Below are 16,448 nucleotides of genomic sequence, written 5' to 3'. Positions count from 1 at the left end.
AAATTAGGAAACCCCCAGTCTTATAAGGAGCTACTAAAAACCTACCTAACCTTTGACCTGGAGGAAAATGTTGTTTTTATTGTCTTGGTCAGGAGAGGAATCTACCCTCTGTCCTTCCAGAATGTTTGCAGCACAAAAGACATTGAGAACAGAAGCTGTCACAAGACGTATAGAAACACCATGAAGGATTGTCTCTCAACACTGCCAATCTGATAAGGGAAGAACAGTATTTGAATATACGCTGTCCAGTACCTCCTGTGAATACCAAAATCCATGAATGCTCAGGTCCTTTATGTAAAATGTGGTAATATTTGCATATAACCTATGCACATACTCCAGTATACTTTAAATAATCTCTAGATTACTTATAATACCTAATACAATATAAATGCTATGCAAATGATTGATATACTCTATTATTTAGGGAATACTAATAAGAAAAATAAGTCTGTACATATTCAATACAAACAATTTTTTTTTCAAATACAGTCATGCACCCATAAGGAAGTTTTAGTCAACAGCTGACTACATATACAATGGTGGCTATACCATATAGCCTATGTGTGTAGTAAGCTATACCATCTAGGTTTGTGTAAGTACACTCTATGATGTTCGCACAATGGTGAAATCGCCTAACAACACTTTTTTTTTTTTTTTGAGATGAAGTCTTGCTCTTGCCCCCAGGCTGGAGTGCAATGGTGTGATCTCAGCTCACTGCAACATTCACCTCCCGGGTTCAAGCGATTCTCCTGCCTCAGCCTCCCGAATAGCTGGGATTACAGGAGTTTGTGACCATGCCTGGCTAATTTTTTTTTGTATTTTTAGTAGAGATGGTGTTTCACCATGTTGGCCAGGCTGGTCTAGAACTCCTGACCTCAGGTGATCCGCCTGCCTTGGCCTCCCAAAGTGCTGGGATTATAGGCGTGACCCACCGCACCTGGCCGCCTAACAACACATTTTGGAGAATGTATCCCCATCATTAAGCAATACATGACTGTCATTTCTATCCATGGTTGATTGAATTTACAAATGTGGAATCCATGGATGCCAAGGGCTGACCATATTTTAATTTGCATTTCTTTTATAAGAAGTGATGCTGAGTATTTTTCCAAGTACTTCACAGACATTTGCCTTTAATCATCTGTGAACTGTCTCTTAACAGTTTGGGCCATTTTCCTACTAGGATTTTACTTCAAAAACCTTTTTTTTTTTTTTTTTTGAGACTGTCTCTGTTGCCCAGGCTGGAGTGCAGTGGTGTGATCTCCATTCCCTGCAACCTCTGTCTCTGAGGTTCAAGCGATTCTCCTGCCTCAGCCTCCCAAGTAGCTGGGACTACAGGCACCCACCACCATGCCCAGATAATTTTTGTATTTTTAGTAGAGACAGGGTTTCACTGTTTTGGCCAGGCTGGTCTCAAACTCCTGACCTCAAGTGATCCACCTGCCTCTACCTTCCGAAGTCCAGGGATTACAGGCATGAGCCACCACACCCAGCTTCTTGAACAGTAAAATCTTTTATACTTAAACAGCTTTATTGAGATATATATATATATATATATATATATATACACACACACACACACATACATACAAATATATATAGATAGATTTTTTTTTTGATGGAGTCTCAGTCTGTAGCCCAGGCTGGAGTGCAGTGGCATGGTCTCAGCTCACTGCAACCTCTGCCTCCCGGGTTCAAGCAGTTCTCCTGCCTCAGCCTCCTGAGTAGTTGGGACTACAGGCACGCGCCACCATGGCTGGCTAGTTTTTGTATTTTTACTAGAGACGGGTTTCACCATGTTGGTCAGGCTGGTCTTGAACTCCTGATCTCGTGATCCGCCCACCTTGGCCTCCAAAAGTGCTGGGATTACAGGCGTGAGCCACTGTGCCCGGTTTATTGAGATATACATACCATTAAGTTCATCCGTTTAAAGTATAGAATTCAATGGTTTTTAGTATATTTATGGAGCTATGCAACCATTGCTATAGTATAATTTTGGAACATTTTCAACATTCCAAAAAGAAACCCCTTACCTCTCAGTAGTCATCTCCATTCCTGCCCCTTGCCCCTACCCTATCCAGCCCTATGTGACCACCAGTCTACTCTATCTCTATAGATTTGTCTATTCTGGACATTTCATATAAATTGTATCATACAATATGTAGACTTGTGACTGACTCTTTCACTTAGCATAATATTTTGGAGGTTCTTCCATGTATCATGCATCAATACTCTTCTTTTTTTTTACTTATTTATCTATGATGGAAATTAGCTATTTTGTGTAATTTAAACTACAAATATTTTCTCCCATTTTTTTCATCTCTTTTGATTTTGTTTATGATGTTTTTGCCAAGCAAAAGTCTATCCACGTATCAGCCGGGTGCAGTGGCTCACGCCTGTAATCCCAGCACTTTGGGAGGCCAAGGCGGGCAGATCACCTGAGGTCAGGAGTTCAAGACCAGCCTGGACAACATGACGAAACGCTGTCTCTACTAAAAATACAAAAATTAGCCAGCACGGTGGTGGGCACCTGTAATCCCAGCTATTCAAGAGGTTGAGGCAGGAGAATCACTTGAACCCGGAAGGAAGAGGTTGCAGTGAGCCAAGATTGCACCACTGCACTCCAGCCTCCATCTCAAAAAAAAGTCTATGCATATATATATATATATGTTTGTGCATATATAGATAGATACAGCTGTAGATATAAATGGATAGATTTGAATTTATCAATCTTTCTCCATGGCTTCTGGAATTTTAGTTATAATTCAGAAGGCTTTCCTTTGTCCAGATTACAAAGAAATTCATATGTTTTCTTCTTGAACCTGTTATGTTTTCATTTTTTGTGCATTGAAATAAGGGATCTGTTTGAAGTACATTCTGATGTAAATTTTTTTTTTTAGATGGAATTTCGCTATTGTCACCCCAGCTGGAGTGCAATGGCGCGAGCTAGGCTCACTGCAACCTCCACCTCCTGGCTTCAAGTGATTCTCCTGCCTCAGCCTCCCAAGTAGCTGGGATTACAGGCATGAGCCCCCGTGCCTGGTCCTAATGTAAATTAGGGACATAAAAACTCTAGTTGTGCTAATGTCATTATTTAAAAGTGAATCTTTTCTGGCCTGGCATGGTGGCTCATGCCTGTAATCTCAGCACTTTGGGAAGCCAAGGCGGGCAAATCACTTGAGGTCAGGAGTTCAAGACCAGCCTGGCCAATATGGTGAAACCCGTCTTTACTAAAAATAAAAAATTTGCCAGGCATGGTGGCACGCACCTGTATTCCCAGCTGCTTGGGAGGCTGAGGTGGGAGAAACACTTGAATCCAGGAGGCGGAGGTTGCAGTGAGCCGAGATTGTGCTATTGCACTCCAGCCTGGGCAACAGAGCGAGACTCTGTCTCAAAAAATTAAAAAATAAAAAAGTTAATCTTTTCCCCAATAATTTAAGATCCCACCTTTGTCATATGCTAAATTTCCCTATGTGCTTCATAACTATTCCTACTGGTTTGAATGTCTAGGCAGGAACCAACACCACACTGTTTTAATTATCAAATCTTTATAATAAGTTTTAATATGTAGTAAGACCAGTCCCCTTTTATTGTTCTTTCTTTTGAAGATGTTCATAAGTATTCTTGCTTATTTATTTTTCCATATGAAGTGTAGGATCCTGTGCCAGGAAAAAAATTTGCTGGCATTTTTATTGGGATTACATTAAATTTATACATGAACCTGGAGAGACTTTATTACGTTGATTGGTTCTATTCAAAACAAGGAATGTGTTTCTATTTTTGTTTAATCCTACTTTTGTGATTTTTCAGGACTATTTCAAAATGTTTCTCGTACAGGCTTCATGTGTAATCTTTTAAACTACAGGGAGTGATCCTATCCTCTGTGAAACTAGGTCAACTGAATATCACCAGTCATAGCTACTCTTCTCTTTGAGGAGAGGTGAGGAAGGGGGCTGATCACGCCTCAGCCTCCCAAAGTACTGGGATTACAGGCGTGAGCCACCATGCCAAGCACAAACATCTACATTCTATTTGCCCTGATTCTTGTTCTCTTCACTGAGGATTTTGCATATGTTTATATTACTGGCTATGATATTATGTAGTACTCATTGAAACACTCTTTAGGAAGTTTTATTGTACAATATGGTGAAGCATAATGCAGGATGGGAAATAGCTTGGAGGGTGAATTTGGGGATACAGTATACAATAGGATTCTGGAGTTAAATTGTTTTTTGACTCAATTCAGAGACTTCTGATGGGCACCCCTCATCGCCCCAGTGAGTTGATTCTAGGAGTCAGAGGAGAAACAATGACCATCAGGCGAAGAGTCTCACAAAGTCAAACGCAGGATTTCCCTGATACCCATCAGGGCACTTTCCCATAAGAGACAGCTGCGCTCAGGCTTACTCCAGGCTTTACTTTAAAACCTACTAGAATAATAGTAGGAAAAACAAGGAAGAATGGGTGAAAGGAAACAGCCTATTTATTTCCTCAAATCCTTTCAGCTTCGCTTCACCTTAGAGAACAATGAGGCTTATTAAATAGGGCCAGCAGCAATCTTGTGTAATTGTTCAGCCATCTTCTCTGTTGACTCCTCAGCCTATTCTGCGACCCTCAAGTTACCCACAGCTTGGCTAAAATAAAAGACTTCTTCTTGCAGGTTTCTCATGCTTTGAATCTTTCCTAGTACAGTTGTTCCCTCTTGAAATGTACCAGAATGTCCACACAACAGGGTACTATAATACCTGTAAAAAGGAATGCAGAAAATCTCTGCATATAACTATGCAGTGATTTCCAGGATATATTGTTCAGAGAAAAAAAAAATTGTGGTAAAGAAAAATGTGTACAGTTGCTACTATTTATCTAAGAAAAAAGGAATAAAGATATATACAGAGATGCTTGTACTGAAAGTAAACAATGGAAACAGTCCACAGCCCTGGCCTCTGCTCACATACCCACAGAACCCGCAGCTCCACCGTACCATGTGTGGCATTTGGGCCCTCTTTGGCAGCAATGATAGCCTCTCTGGTCAGCATCCGAGTGCTATGAAGATCACACACGGGTCCAGATGCATTTCGTCCTGAGAATGTCAATGGATACATCAGCTGCTGCTTTGGATTTCACCAGTTGGTCGTAGTTGACCAGCTGTTTGGAATCCAGCCAATTCAAGTGAGGAAATATCTTCATTTGTGGCTCTGTTGCAGTGGTGAAATTTACAACCACAAGAAGGTATAATACCATTTTGAATTTGATTACAAGGCCAGAGTGGATGGTGACATAATCCTTCATCTTTATGACAAAGGAGGGACTGGGCAGAAAATGTGTATGTTGGGCTGAGTGTTTGCATTTATTTTATTAAATACTGTCAATAAGAAAGTATTCCTGGGCAGAAACACCTACCTAGAGAGTCATCACTGTAGAGATTAACCTCTGCATGCCCTCTATAACAGTGTGGAGAAACAGTTTTGAGATAGAAACTGTGAAGAGCAACCTCTGGATTCCTTTTGACAGTGCTATTAAGAAACGACTGATGACAGAGAAAAGGCTTGGATTCCAGCTTCGTTGCTGCCATTCTGTTGATGCAGCTGAAAGAGTCCCAAGTGTAAGACACTCTCTAGACATTTGCGATTGGCATGAAATCAGTCCCAATGTACTGGCTGCTAGAAAGGTGGAAAATCATATTGAAAGTGAACACCACTCTGAGGAAGGCATTCAGGTCCTGGATGAAATAATATTTTCCTTGGAAATTTAAGACATAACAATAGTTCACACTTCAGTAGGTAGGTTTGTAATTTCCCAGTATATTTGGAAGAACACAGATATCATAGTGATCTTCTCTAGAGAACGTTCGGATGAAATTACACAGGGTTACATATATTTTTACAAGACTCCTCCTCAGGAAAAAGCCAAGGAGCAGAGTCAGGGGCTTCTGAAGGACTCTTTGTTTTATGTAGTGTGTGCAGATTGAACTGCTGCTGCCTGTGACCTTGAACTGAGAGTCTAATTCCTGGATCATCTGTTTTCTTCTTATTGCCTCTGGCACCAGAAATAAGAATTCTGAAGACTGGGATAGGAAAACATCTCCTGATAAAGATATTTGAGTACTATACCTGATACCTAAAGAAATTCTCTGGCCAAAAGAAGCCTTCAGTGATGGGATAACTTAGTTAAGAATTTCTGTTTTAGGGTTTTACAGAAATATACTGAACATCAGGTTGATGACATAATGATGGCAACTGCAACACAAAAATTTTCCTTCAGTATTCTTAAAACTAAATAAGGCTATTACAGCAATCTACAAATTCAATGCAATTCCCATCAAAATATCACCATCATTCTTCATAGAACTAGGAAAAAACAACCCTAAAATTCATGTGAACCAAAAAAGAGCTCGCATAGCTAAAGCAAGACTAAGCAAAAAGAACAAATCTGGAGGCATCACATTACCTGATTTCAAACTATACTATAATGCCACAGTCACCAAAACAGCATGGTATTGGTATAAATATAGGCACATAGACCAATGGAACAGAATAGAGAACCCAGAAATAAACCCAAATACTTACAGCCAACTCACCTTCGACAAAGCAAACAAAAACATAAAGCAGAAAAGGGACACCCTATTCAACAAATGGTGCTGGGAGAATTGGCAAGCCACACATAGGAGAATGAAACTGGATTCTCATCTCTCACTTCATATAAAAATCAACTCAAGATGGATCAAGGACTTAAACGTAAGACCTGAAACTATAAAAATTCTACAGGATAACATCAGAAAAACCCTTCTAGACATTGGCTTCGGCAAGGAGTTCATGACCAATAACCCAAAAGCAAATACAGTAAAAACAAAGAAAAATAGGTGGGACTTAATTAAACTAAAGAGCTTTTGCACAGCAAAAGGAACCATCTGCAAAGTAAACAGACAACCCATAGAGTGGGAGAAAATCTTCACAATCTATATATCCGACAAAGGAATAATATCCAGAATCCACATGAACTCAAACAAATTAGCAAGAAAAAGACAAACAATCCCATCAAAAAGTGGGCTAAGGACATGAATAGACAATTCTCAAAAGAGGATATACAAATGGCCAACAAACATGAAAAAATGCTCAACATCACTAATGATCAGGGAAATGCAAATCAACACCACAATGTGATACCACCTTATTCCCACAAGAATGGCCATAATCAAAAAATCATAAAATAATAGATGTTGGCATGGATGTGGTGAAAAGGGAACACTTCTACACTGCTGGTGGGAATGTAAACTAGTACGACCACTATGGAAAACAGTGTAGAGATTCCTTAAAGAACTAAAAGTAGAATTATCATTTGATCCAGCAATCCCATTACTGAGGAAAAGAAGTCATTACACGAAAAAGATACTTGCACACACGTTTATAGCAGCACAATTCACAATTGCAAAAATGTGGAACCAGACCAAATACCCATCAATCAACAAGTGGATAAAGAAACTGTGATATGTGGCCGGGTGCAGTGGCTCACACCTGTAATGCCAACACTTTGGGAGGCCAAGGCGGGTGGATCACCCGAAGTTGGGAGTTTGAGACCAGACTGACCAATATTAAGAAACCCTATCTCTACTAAAAATACAAAAAATTAGCCAGGCATGGTGGCGCTTGCCTATAATCCCAACTACTCAGGAGGCTGAGGCAGGAGAATCGCTTTAACCCGGGAGGCGGAGGCTGCAGTGAGCCGAGATTACACCATTGCACTCCAGCCTGGGCAACAAGAGAGAAACTCCATCTCAAAGAAAGAAAAGAAACTGTGATATATATATCACATCATATATATATATGATGGAATACTACTCAGCCATAAAAAGGAATGAATTAATGGCATTCGCAGCAACTTGGTTGGGATTGGAGACTATGATTTTAAGTAAAGTAACTCAGGATTGGAAAACCAAACATCGTATGTTCTCACTCATAAGTGGGAGCTAAGCTATGAGGATGCAAAGGCAAAAGAATAATACAATAAACTTTGAAGACTCGGGGAAAGTTGGTGGGGGGATGAGGGATAAAAGACTACAAATTGGGTTCTGTAGATACTGCTCGAGTGATGGGTGCACCAAAATCTCACAAATCACCACTAAAGAACCTACTCATGTACCCAAACACCACCTGCTCCCCAAAAACCTATAGAAACAAAAAATTTTTTAAAAAAATAAAGCATTGATTAAAAGCAAAAATAAATAAATAAATTAGCCCACCTAAAAAAGAAAGACATGCTCACAGTTATTTATTGCAGGATGTTTGTATCAGAAAAGTATGGAAATACACAGAAACAATACAAATGTCCTTTAGTAAGGAACTGGTTGTATAATTATAAAGCCACATGTTGGCGTACTGTGCCACTGTAAGCAGAAATTAAGCCAGGGATGGTGGTATGGGCCTGTAGACCCAGCCAGGAATTGGAGACTGTGCTGTGCCATGATCGTGCCTGTGAAAAGACAATGTACTCCATCCTGGACAACACAGCCAGACCAACCCCACGTCAAAAAAGACAGAAAGAGAAAGGAAGAGAGAAAGAGAGAAAGGAAGGAAGGAGAAAGAAAGGAAAAGAAAAGAGAGAAAGAGAGAGAAAGAAAGAAATTACAACTATCACTATTTATTATCATGAAGTAAACTCCATAGAAGGATGAATGAATCATGTTTTACTGTTGTTGTTTTGGCTTGATTTAATTTTATTTTTTTAACCATGAGATCCCTTTATTGAACATCTTGTTTTGGTCAGTTTTGAGTGAATTTTTATAGAAATCCTGATAGGTCCTCCAAGAAATTGCCATAAAGCCTTATTCAAGCCAGTCCAGCTTTCAGAACAAGTAGATTCCTGGAATAAGGAGTGAAGACCGTATTTATAGCTTAAATTTTTATATTCCAATTCTTTTTTTTTGAGATGAAGTCTCACTCTTGTCCCCAGGCTAGAATGCAATGGCTCACTGCAACCTCCGCCTCCCGGATTCTAGCAATTCTCCTGCCTCAGCCTCCCGAGTAGCTGGGATTACAGGCATCTGCCACCACACTCAGATACTTTTTGTATTTTTAGTAGAGACGTGGTTTTACCATGTTGGCCAGGCTGGTCTTGAACTCCTGACCTCAGGTGATCTGCCCGCCTCGGCCTCCCAAAGTGCTGGGATTACAGGCGTGAGCCACCGTACCTGTCCTTTGATATTCCAATTGTGATTGGAGAGCATTTTTGTCAGTGTTTGTATTTAGAAGTTTATCTTGAAGGATATTACAAAGGGTACAGATGAAGAGACGTATAGAGCAAGGTAGGTGGGAAGGGACGTGGGGCTTCCATGCCCTCTCCAGTGTGCACCACCTTCCAGGAACTTCCCTGTGCTCAGCTATCTGGAAACTGCTGAATCATATTTTTAATTTTCTTTATTTTGTGATGCCTTGACATCCTGAGGGCCTTGCTGGCCAGGGAGAGACTACCTCTCCCAGGGCTAGTTAATTCCTAGAGGTAGCAAATGGCTCCCCTGTAAACTCCCTCCCTTCCTTCCTCCCTTCCTTCCTTCCTCCCTCCCTTCCTTTTTCCTTCCTTTTTCTTTCCTTTATCTCTCTCTCGCTCTCTTTCTCTTTTCTCTCTCCCTCTCTCTTTATCTTTCTCTCTTTCTGACAGAGTTCACCCTTGTTGCCTAAGAGTGCAGTGGCACGACCTCGGCTCATTGCAACTTCCGCCTCCTAGATTCAAGCGATTTCTCCTGCCTGAGCCTCCTAAGTAGCTGGGATTACAGGCCAGTTAATTTTGTATTTTTAGTAGAGATGGGGTTTCACTATGTTGGTCAGGCTGGGCTCAAACCCCTGACCTCAGGTGATCCATCCACCTCGGCCTCCCAAATTGCTGGGATTACCGGCTAGAGCCACCCGCCCTGCAGACTCACCTTTCTTATGCAAACCAACCAACCAAAGCACATATTTGCAACCACTTTAGCTTACTCTCAGACACCAAGTGAACATTTCCCCTGCTCTAAATCACCCCAGGGCCAGGTGCCAGACGATCAGAGGCCACCTCTATAACCCTGAGCCAACTGAAATGATTTTAAGCTATATAATCCTAAATTTGCTCAAATTTGCCTGTGTCCTGCCTCATCCCTTCCTTTCCATAGAAATGACAATAAAGGCTTTGGGCCGCGCTTCTGTCCTTTGCTCCTTCTGCCTCCTGACCAATCCTGATACTTCACTCTATGGCCCTATGTGTCATGATGTGGCCCCTTCTCTTCAGGAACTGTAAGTAATAAGACTTCTTGCAGGGCACGGTGGCTCATGCCTGTAATCCCAGCACTTTGGGAGGCTGAGGTGGGGGGATCACGAGGTCAGGAGATCAAGACCATCTTAGCTAACATGGTGAAACCCTGTCTCTACTAAAAATATAAAAAATTAGCCAGGCGTGGTAGCATACGCCTGTAGTCCCAGCTACTTGGGAAGCTAAGGCAGGAGAATCTCTTGAACCCGGAAGGTGGAGGTTGCAGTGAGCCAAGATCACGCCACTGCACTCCAGCCTGGGCTGCAGAGCGAGACTCCATCTCAAAAAAAAAAAAAAAAAAAAAAGGTCAGGAGATCGAGACCATCCTGGCCAACATGGTGAAGCCCCATCTCTACTAAAAACAAAAATTAGCTGGGCCTGGTGGCACGTGCCTTTGGTCCCAGCTATTCAGGAGGCTGAGGCAGGAGAATTGCTTGAACCCAGGAGGCACAGGTTGCAGTGAGCCGAGACTGCGCCACTGCACTCTAGGCTGGAGTTCGAGACTCTGTCTCAAAAAAAAAAAGGCTTCTTTCAATGGCATTGTCCTGTCTGCATCATCACTCAGTCACCTCTATAAATTAAAATCCAGGTACAATTAAAACAAATAATAAATCATAAAATATTTTTAAGTAGTTAATTATGGGAGAGGGAAAGAATAAGGTGAGAGTGGCTAGAATAGAAGGTAGACTTCATTGAAATAACTTGTTTCAGAGAGTTGACTTTGGAAGCAAGTACACATTTTATATAATCATTAAGTAAAATTGAATTTTAAGGGGAAATTCCCCAAAATAAAATCAAACAAATAGTATTTAATGCATATCCAGTTGTGGCATAACCACACATAAAAACCATTCCAAATGACTTCATAACAGAAAATTTTCACTGTACATCAATAAAGGGAAACATCCTAAAGATTAAAAATTGCAAAAAATAAAAGCTTAGGCTGATTTCAATAATCATATTATTAGCAGCAGTATTGGTATTATTATTCTGAGACTACTGGGTGCACATTTTGGAATGCAAATGAATAATTTTGTGAGATATCAATTCTATTATTCCTATAATCTTGAATTTAGCTTGTAAATATTTGTATTAGTCCACTATATACCTAATTATGCTGCATAACAAACCACTCTAAACATCAATGACTCACAACCCTAAGCATTTATTTCTCATTCACATATCTGTGCCTCTGCATTAAGCTACATTCTACAGGTTGACTGGCATTTGAACAATTTAGGCTGGACTCAGCTGGGCTTAGCTCCAGATTGCACGTTTGGTTCAGGTCTACAAGATGTATCTTTCATTATTCTGAAAGCAATAGGCTATTTGTGGCATGTTCTTCTCATGGCAATGGCAGAGATAGAAGAGGGCAAGCCCATATGCACGAGCACATTACCAACCTTTTCAGTCATATGTGCTAATATACCATTGGCCAAAGCAAGTCACATATTCAAGCCCCAAGTCAATGGTTGTCATAAATGACATGAAAAAGTCTCATGGCAAAGCCTAATGTCAATAGGAAGGGATGGTATACTTTTTTCAGGGAGGTGATGGGGACGGAGAATTATTTTCTTTTTTTTTTTTTTCTTTTTTTTTTCGAGACAGAGTTTCGCTCTTGTTCCCCAGGCTGGAGTGCAATGGCTTGATCTCAGCTCACTGCAACCTCCCCCTCCCGGGTTCAAGAGATTCTCCTGCCTCAGCCTCCTGAGTAGCTGGGATTACAGGCATGCACCACCATGCCCGGCTAATTTTTTGTATTTTTAGTAGAGACACGGTTTCTCCATGTTGGTCAGGTTGGTCTCTAACTCCCGACCTCAGGTGATCTACCTGCCTTGGCCTCCCATAGTGCTGGGATTACAGGCATGAGCCACCTTGCCAGAATTTTCTTAAAAAACAAAACAAAAAAAACTACCATAATACCAACATGAACTTGTAATATATTTTATTAAAACAAAAAAAAATTTCTTTTCTCTGTCCACCTAAAGTGTCTAGAAACAAAAATACCTCAGTAGCTATAAGTACTCCTGGCACCTGAAGGAGTTCAGATTATGCCACTGCAAAATATGCCATGCTGGCATGTTGACTGTTTTGAGTTAAAAACACTCAACAAACAGCAGATACAAGGACATTCTGATGTCTCTTTTTTTTTTTTTTTTGAGATGGAGTCTCGCTCTGTCACCTAGGATGGAGTGCAGTGTCACAATCTTGGCTCACTGCAACCTCCACCTCCCAGGCTCAAGCAATTCTCCTGCCTCAGCCTCCCAAGTAGCTAGGATTACAGGTGTGCACCACAACACCCGGCTCATTTTTTGTATTTTTAATAGAGATGGGGTTTCACAATGTTGGCCAGGCTGGTCTCAAACTCCTGACCTCAAGTAATCCGCCTGCCTTGGCCTCCCAAAGTGCTGGGGTGCTGGGATTATAGGCGTGAGCCACCACGCCTGGCCTGATCTCCCTTCTTTTTCTTAAAAACAAGAGATGAAATTACCATGTGAGAGTGGCTCTTCCTGTAACAGGAGAAAAGAAACTTTCTTATCATCTGGGAGGTTGAGACTGAGAGAATCCTGTACAAACAGACCTTATTAAAAAAATTGTTATCTTCCTTTAGCCTCCACATACATTTTCGTTTTTTTTTTTTTTTTTTTTTTTGAGATGGAGTCTCGTTCTGTCGCCCAGGCTGGAGTGCAGTGGCGTGATCTCGGCTCACTGCAAGCTCCACCTCCAGGGTTCACGCCATTCTCCTGCCTCAGCCTCCCGAGTAGCTGGGACTACAGGCGCCTGCCACCATACCTGGCTAATTTTTTGTATTTTTAGTAGAGACAGGGTTTCACTGTGTTAGCCAGGATGGTCTCGATCTCCTGACCTTGTGATCCGCCAGCCTTGGCCTCCCAAAGTGCTGGGATTACAGGTGTGAGCCACCGCTCCCGGCCTCTTTTTTTTTTTTTTTGAGACAGAGTTTTGCTCTTGTTGCCCAGGCTGGCGTGCAATGGTGTGATCTCAGCCCACTGCAACCTCTGCCTCCTGGGTTCAAGTGATTCTCTTGCCTCAGCCTCCTGAGTAGCTGAGAGTACAGGCACCTGTCATCACGCCTGGCTAACTTTTTGTATTTTTAGTAGAGACGGGGTTTCATCATGTTGGCTAGTCTGGTGTTGGAACTCCTGACCTTAGGTGATCCGCCTGTCTTGGCCTCCCAAAGGGCTGGGATTACAGGCGTGAGCCACCGCGCCCGGTCTAATTTTTGTATTATTAGTAGAGATGGGGTTTCACCACGTTGGTCAGGCTGGTCTTGAACTCCTGACCTCGTGATCTGCCCGCCTCTGCCTCCCAAAGTGCTGGGATTTCAGGCGTGAGCCACCTCACCAGGTTCAAAATTCTGTCTTTTTACTGGAAGAAAACGATCCCTCCCTTACCCACATCCTTACTTTGTATCCTGGCTTATAACAGGCCATCAATTTTTTTTTTTTTTTTTTTTTTGAGATGGGGTCTCGCTCTGTCATCCAGGCTAGAGTGCAGTGGCATAATCTTGACTCACTGCAACCTCCATTTCCGGGATTCAAGCAACTTTCCTGCCTCAGCCTCCCGAGTAGCTGGGATTACAGGCACCTGCTGCCACGACATCAGGCTAATTTTTGTATTTTTAGTAAAGACAGTGTTTCACCATGTTGGCCAGGCTGGTCTCGAACTCCTGACCTCAAGTGATCCGCCCGCCTCAGCCTCCCAAAGTGCTGGGATTACAGGCGTGAGGCACTGCGCCCAGCCTGAGCCACCATGCCTGGCCAGGCCATCCATTTTTGTAGCACTTTTTTTTTTGAGATGGATTCTCACTCTGTTTCCCAGGCTAGAGTGCACTGGCACAACCTCAGCTCACTGCAACCTCGGTCTCCTGTGCTCAAGCAATCCTTCTGCCTCATAGAAGCGCGCGCCACAACACCTGGCTAATTTTTATATTTTTAGTAGAGACAGGGTTTCGCCATGTTGGCCAGGCTGATCTTGAACTCCTGACCTCAAGTGATCCACCCACTTTGGCCTCCCACAGTGCTGGGATTACAGGTGTGAGCCACCAGGCCACTCCACACCCAGCCTTGTAGCACACTTTAAAACAATTATATGGGCATGGTGGTGCATGCCTGTTGTTGGGGGGTAGGGCTGAGGCAGGAGAATCGCTGAACCCAGGTGGCAGAGGTTGCAGTGAGCTGGGACCGTGCCATTGCACTCCAGCCTGGGCAACTTGAAACTCCATCTCAAAAACAAAAAACAAAAATACAATTATATAATCTGGTTCTATCTTTCTAGGGCCACCTGGATCTGCCTATACAGGAGGAAAAATAAAGCCACCAACTTTTACACAGCCCTGCTAATCATGGAAGTGTGTCCAGGCTTCAAATAACTTGAGTTTTAATTTCTTAAATTAAAATTGGGAAATATATTTAATATTTAATACTAAGCTTTAAAACAAAACCTGCTAGCATTGTTATGTATCCTGATGCAAAGACTATGATGTTAATAAAAGATAGTACAGAAGACAAAAAATAAAATAGAATAAAAATAAAGGCTTTCTCTTCCAGAGTTATATACTGAAATGTTTATAGATACCATTATTTCATGGCTGGGGTTTGCTTCATAATAATCTGGAGTTGAGGACAGTGGGTGGCAGCTAACTGGACCAAGATTGACCATGAGTTGACAATTGTTGATGCTGGATGATAGGAAATGAAAGTTCACTATTCTGTTCTGTATGCTTTTGTGTATGTTTGAAGTTTTTCATGGAATACGAATGAACTATACACAACAGGGAATGAATCTCACAAATATTAAGCCAAACAAAAGAAGCTGGACCAAAAAAGCAAGCATACAGTATGATTCCATTTATATAAAGTTTAAAACAGGCAAAACAAATCCATGATGTTAGAAATCAGAATAATGGTGGCTGGGTGTGGTGGCTCATGCCTGTAATCCCAGCACTTTGGGAGGCCAAGGTGAGTGGATCACCTGGGGTCAGCAGTTCGAGACCATCCTGGCCAACATGGTTAAACCCTATCTTGACTAAAGATACAAAAATTAGCTGCACGTGGTGGCAGGTGCCTGTAATCCCAGCTACTTGGGAGGCTGAAGCAGGAGGATCGCTTGAACCCAGGAGGTGGAGGTTGCAGTGAGCCGAAATCGTGCCATCGCACTCCAGCCTGGGCAACAAGGGTGAAATTCCTTTTCAAAAAAAAAAAAAGAAATCAGAATAATGGTTACCCTTGGGAAATAACAACTGAGAGGAGTCAAGGGGTTTCTGCTGCATGGGAAATACTCTTTATGGTCTAGGTATTGGTTATATAAGTATCTTTACTTTGTAAAAATTCATCAAACTGTATACTTATGATTTAAGTCCTTTTTTGTATAAAACCTGTACTTTAAAGATGTTTTGATTTGCAAAATAAAAAGTAAAAGTAAATAAACAGTAAGAACGGTTGCATATCCTATGATAGCTATTCCTACACCAAATGTAAGCGGATATTTTAGGAAGACAGCTCTACTAATAATACTATGCTCAACTCTGTTAATAGAAACAAGGAAACAAATACCCAAAACCCAGAAAGCAAACTCAGTCAGTACCTAATTCTCTCTCTTTTTTTTTTTTTTTTGAGACAGGGTCTCACTGTGTCGCCCAGGCTGGAGTGCAGTAGCATAATTTCGGCTCACTGCAACCTCCACCTCCTGGGTTCTAACAATCCTCCTGCCTCAGCCTCCCTAGTAGCTGGAACTACAGGCGCGTGCCACCAAACCCGGCTAATTTTTGTGTATTAGTAGAGATGAAGTCTCACTTTGTTGCCCAGGCTGGTCTCAAACTCCTGGGCTCCAGCGATCCACCTGCCTCAGCCTCCTAAATTGCTAGGATTATGGGCATGAGCCACTGTGCCTGGTCTACCTCAGCCTTTTGTGTGTGTGTTTGTTTTGTTTTGTTTTGTTTTGTTGAGATGGAGTTTTGCTCTTGTTGCCCAGGCTGGAGTGCCATGGCGCGATCTCGACTCACTGCAACCTCCGCCTCCCAGGTTCAAGCAATTATCCTGCCTCAGCCTCCTGAGTAGCTGGGATTACAGGCATGCGCCACCATGCCTGGCTAATTTTTTTTGTATTTTTAATAGAGACGGGGTTTCTCCATGTTGGTCAGGATGGTCTCGATC

General features: G+C 41.9%; 1 long non-coding RNA gene and 1 pseudogene across 1 annotated transcript, besides 2 other annotated features; both read left to right on the top strand.

The window, feature by feature from the left end:
* ASNSP3 (ASNS pseudogene 3) lies at window positions 4,969–6,317 on the top strand (annotated as a pseudogene).
* Window positions 9,633–10,158: an enhancer, noted in NCBI's record as "OCT4-NANOG-H3K27ac hESC enhancer chr13:100710682-100711207 (GRCh37/hg19 assembly coordinates)". NCBI's record gives its function as "activates a minimal SCP1, AML or CMV promoter by ChIP-STARR-seq in naive and primed H9 embryonic stem cells {active_cell/tissue: H9 hESC(naive and primed)}" and the evidence as "EXISTENCE:reporter gene assay evidence [ECO:0000049][PMID:30033119]".
* Window positions 10,143–14,842, top strand: LOC124903200 (uncharacterized). Its single transcript, XR_007063849.1, has 2 exons — window positions 10,143–10,259; window positions 14,572–14,842. It is a non-coding gene; the product is annotated as an uncharacterized LOC124903200 (long non-coding RNA).
* Window positions 14,164–14,664: an enhancer, noted in NCBI's record as "H3K4me1 hESC enhancer chr13:100706176-100706676 (GRCh37/hg19 assembly coordinates)". NCBI's record gives its function as "activates a minimal SCP1, AML or CMV promoter by ChIP-STARR-seq in primed H9 embryonic stem cells {active_cell/tissue: H9 hESC(primed)}" and the evidence as "EXISTENCE:reporter gene assay evidence [ECO:0000049][PMID:30033119]".
* Window positions 14,843–16,448: the final 1,606 nt, after the last annotated feature.

Source organism: Homo sapiens, chromosome 13, assembly GCF_000001405.40.
Source record: "Homo sapiens chromosome 13, GRCh38.p14 Primary Assembly".
NCBI classification, from domain to species: domain Eukaryota; kingdom Metazoa; phylum Chordata; class Mammalia; order Primates; family Hominidae; genus Homo; species Homo sapiens.
Note: the sequence above shows the minus strand (reverse complement) of the source record. Positions and strands in the feature narration are given on the sequence as shown.